This window comes from Homo sapiens, chromosome 6 (genome assembly GCF_000001405.40).
Source record: "Homo sapiens chromosome 6, GRCh38.p14 Primary Assembly".
In the NCBI taxonomy this organism is placed as follows: Eukaryota; Metazoa; Chordata; class Mammalia; order Primates; family Hominidae; genus Homo; species Homo sapiens.
In genome coordinates this window covers 26,811,553-26,813,896 of record NC_000006.12, presented here as the reverse complement: position 1 = coordinate 26,813,896, position 2,344 = coordinate 26,811,553, and positions in this window count along the sequence as shown.

The window sequence follows — 2,344 nt, the reverse complement described above, 5'->3', positions numbered from 1 at the left end:
ATGACATGATGGAATCTCTCTACTCTCTGGACTTATTATGTGTGGTAATAAATTTACTTTTTAAAAGCCAGTTGAGTGTTTTTAATGTTGTGGAGCTATTGCTAAGAGTTTCCTGAGTTTTTTCCAGTAATGTAGAGATCTTTGTGCTAAATATTTCATAAAGAAGTTTGGTGGGTTATGTGTTCTAAATCCTAATCACTGGCATTAACTCAAACCAGCCATATAAAAGGTATGAAAAATGTCTGTCTGGCGTGCACTTGGTTCACTGAGCTTTTGCTTTCCTGTCAGCAAATTAGACATTCTCCTCACTTAGGAGGCCAACTTCTCAGCCACTGGCTCCAGCCTAGCCCTATGGTCTGTCAGTGGCTTTAGATTTAATTGACACATGCCCAGCCCCAACTCTCTCCTGCCTTAAGGATATAAGAGCCATTGTGAGCCGCAAAGTTATTATATCCGAGAACCCAGAAAACCACTTTTGTATATAGCAGTCCGCTGTTTTCTCATTTAAACATATGGGTTGGAATAGCATAGGATCATACACCTGTGAGCCTACCTGTTTTACAAGTTAAAACTTTTTCCTGATTCTTGCAAGCATTTTTTCTCACTCAACCCTACATGCATGTGTGCAGAATTTTAAGGTAAAATTAGTTTTTGTAGACACTGAATGTGCTGCCCTCAAGGAATATTACAATGGAGTAGGGAAGACAGTTGAGCAAACAGCTGTTTACAATTCTGATAAAAGTCACAATTGAGATGAATACTCTGTACACTAAAAGTACAGAAAGGAACACTACTCTTGAGAATGAGTAGCCTGATAGGATTTGCCAGTGTTTCTGTTATTTCATTTGTTCATACCGGTCCCTGACACCTGGTTTCCTTTTCAAGCAACAAAATCCTAAAATCTCCATCATCTGCTGCTTTCACGTTCCTCACCACTGAGGTCAAGGACCCGAGGCTGGCAGGAAATTGAACTAATGACACTTCAAGAAGACCATGAATCTTTTCATTTTTTCAGCTGGAAAGCTGAGAGCAGACAAATGGCAGGGAGGCCAAGTGCTATCAACCACATTTAGAAATTTTATTTAATCTGCACATCTTTATTTGGTAGAAAGTTTTACAAATAAAATTTAACACAAAACAATTTTTTTGAAAAACCATGTTGACTTAAGCAGAGCCAATGATGCAAAGCATAATGTATCAGAAGATTCCTGATTCAACTGCTAGCTTGAAGTCGCCCCCTCCTTGTGTTCTGGAAAGATGGGGTGTTGTTTATCATCCACATATCAAAAAGTAAACAGAAAGCAGTATTTCCGAAACCTTTTCTTTATAAGGAGATCTTCATAAAACTTGCATTATTACCCTTGTTGGATCATAACACACCTGAGAAAGATTGGGTGGAGGAAGGTGAAGAAGGCTGGAAAAGATTTACAAGGGAATAAATCAAGAATCTGGTACAAATTGACTAATGGTATCTTCTGCATCAGCCCATTTCGAGTGAAAAGTCCCCCGTTTTAGAACTTTTGGCTCTTTGTTTTAATGCTCCCTCCTGAGAATTAACAAAAATTTTGATTACTCTGGGCACGCTACCTGATTAGCCCTGCTCCGCAAGGAGCAGTTATATATATATAATCACACACTCACACACACACATTTTTCAGGGAATCCTGCCTAATTTCTTCCGAAGTTCAGCTGTCTCAGTTCACACCAAACAAGTTACACGATTTCATAACGGATAGAGGACAGAAGCTTAAGGAGGGAGGGCCGAATGCACCGGGAACCCTAGTCAAGTGTAGGAAATCATCACGAGCGAGGCGAAGCAGGTCGTGGGAGACGAGACCTTCACTCAGGAACGGGGACGATGTGAATCGTGTTTCTATCGAGTGGCTGGGGGACCGGGTTGGGATCAGCCAGGAGGAGGTAGCCGCACAAGGCTTAGCTGGGTCTCCCGCGCAGACATCTCCTGGACAGCGACCCAGCGCCGCGCAGGCGCTCACGGCCCGGCTCCAGGGCTGCGGGTGGCGAGTCCCTGCCTGCCCGGAGCTCGCCCTCGGGGAAGGACGGACGCCTCGCGACGGCCGCGGACGCACCAGCGCAAGTGGTTCCTTGGAATCTCCCCATGTAATTCCACATGAGATTAAATTTTTAAAGCGCCTCATACTCGTGACCCATGGGTCAATGCCATCTAGCAACCATTCAGTGGCTGAATCCTCAGACAGGCACTCAGCATCCCCAGAGCCTAGGGGCATGCCATATGCCCCCACATAAAGATTTGTTGAATGAATGAAGGTGTCTAACTCCATTGTCTTGCCCTATTAAAGATGTATACTTTCTCTGCCTAGACCAT